General features: G+C 37.1%; 1 annotated feature.

Annotated features, from left to right (window-relative positions):
* Window positions 242–1,441: an enhancer, noted in NCBI's record as "P300/CBP strongly-dependent group 1 enhancer chr2:139024168-139025367 (GRCh37/hg19 assembly coordinates)". NCBI's record gives its function as "activates an origin of replication core promoter dependent on BRD2, BRD4, P300/CBP, MED14 and CDK7 cofactors, with strong dependence on P300/CBP, by STARR-seq in HCT116 cells {active_cell/tissue: HCT116}" and the evidence as "EXISTENCE:reporter gene assay evidence [ECO:0000049][PMID:35650434]".

The raw sequence follows: 1,834 nt of genomic DNA, 5'->3' as shown, positions 1-1,834 counted from the left end.
TGAGCAGAGGGACCTGCTCATCCCTAGAGAAAATCTCAATATTGCAATGAAGTTATATTTTCACCCAACTTATTTTACACATTCACTTTAGTTAATTTAACATTTTCCAAGTCATATTAATGATTACAAGGTATATAGACACACACACATACATACACATTTATTTTTCTGAGAAGAAAAGCAAGAGTAAAGAAAATGCCTAATACATGGAGAGGAAATGCATTAATCAATTAGAACCAGGTTAAGTGAGTTTCAGAAATTGATTAACATGGCCTTTAGAATTACAATGAGTAAAAAGAAGACCAGAAAACACAAAATGATGCTCAGTCCTACTAATAATGAAAGCTCTTTGGTTTATGTTTTGGAAATGGTCCCAGTGATAAAACTTATGTATAATGAAATCATGGGGCAGGCAGGAAACAGACTATGACTTATTCATATGCAATTTGTGATTCAACAGTGAAATATGTTCTCTATCAAATGAAATTTAGGGACTGAATTACTTATAATTAAGCAGTTTCCAAAACAGCAATGTAGAGAATCTCAGAAGAAACTCACATAACTACCCAACAGTGAAAAGTTTGGTGCTGTGAAAGTGGGCTCTCTAGGTGGGCTCACTGGGAGCGGGGCTCCTAGACAGTGTCTTTACTTGACCCTGAGTGTAGGTGTGAGACCGCGGGCCCTCACAGAGGACAGTGTGCAGGGCCTGTGTGAGGTGAGCAAAATCTCACAGATTTTGACAAGACTCACAAGGTCCCAGAAGCCTGGGAGTACAGAGAAGCACAAGGACCTGGGAAAGTTCTTCACCTGGGTGTGAACCTGCGCCTGTACCTCCTATGCACATGCAGAACAGCCCTCCTGCTAGCTTTTCTGTGCTTCTCACCCTCTTGTTGAATATGGCACTCTAGCCACCATTCTGGATAGAGCAGAACCCAGCAGGGAAGAGCAGGCACCTCCAGCTTAGGACAAGAGAAAAATACAGCTATTAATTTCAAGCGACTTTAAGTATATGCTGTGGAACACATGTCCTTGGAGATGCTCCATGTAAAGAAGAAATTTCATGGTAAAATAAGTTCAAAAAGCACAGCAAAATATGCCCTTCTCCTTTACACAGGCAAAAATATTATATCAAGTTCAGAGAAATCTGAAAAAAAAGTTTATTGCAACATTTGCCAAATTTACTTGACCACAAACCACTCTTTTCTTTTTTTTCTTTCACTATGAAGATACTGTCATTCTGTAGAAACAAAATTTAAGGAGAATCTTGCTTTAAAATTTTTATTTTTCCATCAGATTTTTATATTTTAATTATATTTTGATAAGGAGGAAGTTTTGTTTGAACTTTCATGTTGCACTGGAAAAGTGGAAAATTTTAGGTTTAGCTTCTGGAAGCAATGTTTGGCTAGATTATTTTAATAATTTCTCCCTCAAAAACTTTACCAAAAAAACCTGAATAATATATTATTTTAAAACATTGAAGAGAATTTAAGAAACACCAAAGCTACTTTTGACCTGCATTTGTGTCTCCTGTAAATTGGGTTTGATCATTTTGGAAGGCAAGTGGGAAAAAATTCAAAGCCCAGGACTGGCAGAAGTAAGAGGTTTAAGAGACAACTTTATGCAAAATGAGCTGGGATTTTAAAGAACTACATACTCTGAGTGAGGGTCAACCAGAAGTATACCAGGCTTCTCATGGAATTGCAACCTGAAGTTTAATATCTTGCATAGTCCATACCATCTTAAGAATTGAGTTGGTTTTAAGTAGGTCTCTGATTAGTGTAATGTCCCCAAGAGACTGTCAGAAGCAAATGTAATCTCTCTAGAGCAAAATGTC

This window comes from Homo sapiens, chromosome 2, assembly GCF_000001405.40.
Source record: "Homo sapiens chromosome 2, GRCh38.p14 Primary Assembly".
Lineage (NCBI taxonomy): Eukaryota > Metazoa > Chordata > Mammalia > Primates > Hominidae > Homo > Homo sapiens.
This window is presented reverse-complemented; position numbering and strand designations above follow the sequence as displayed.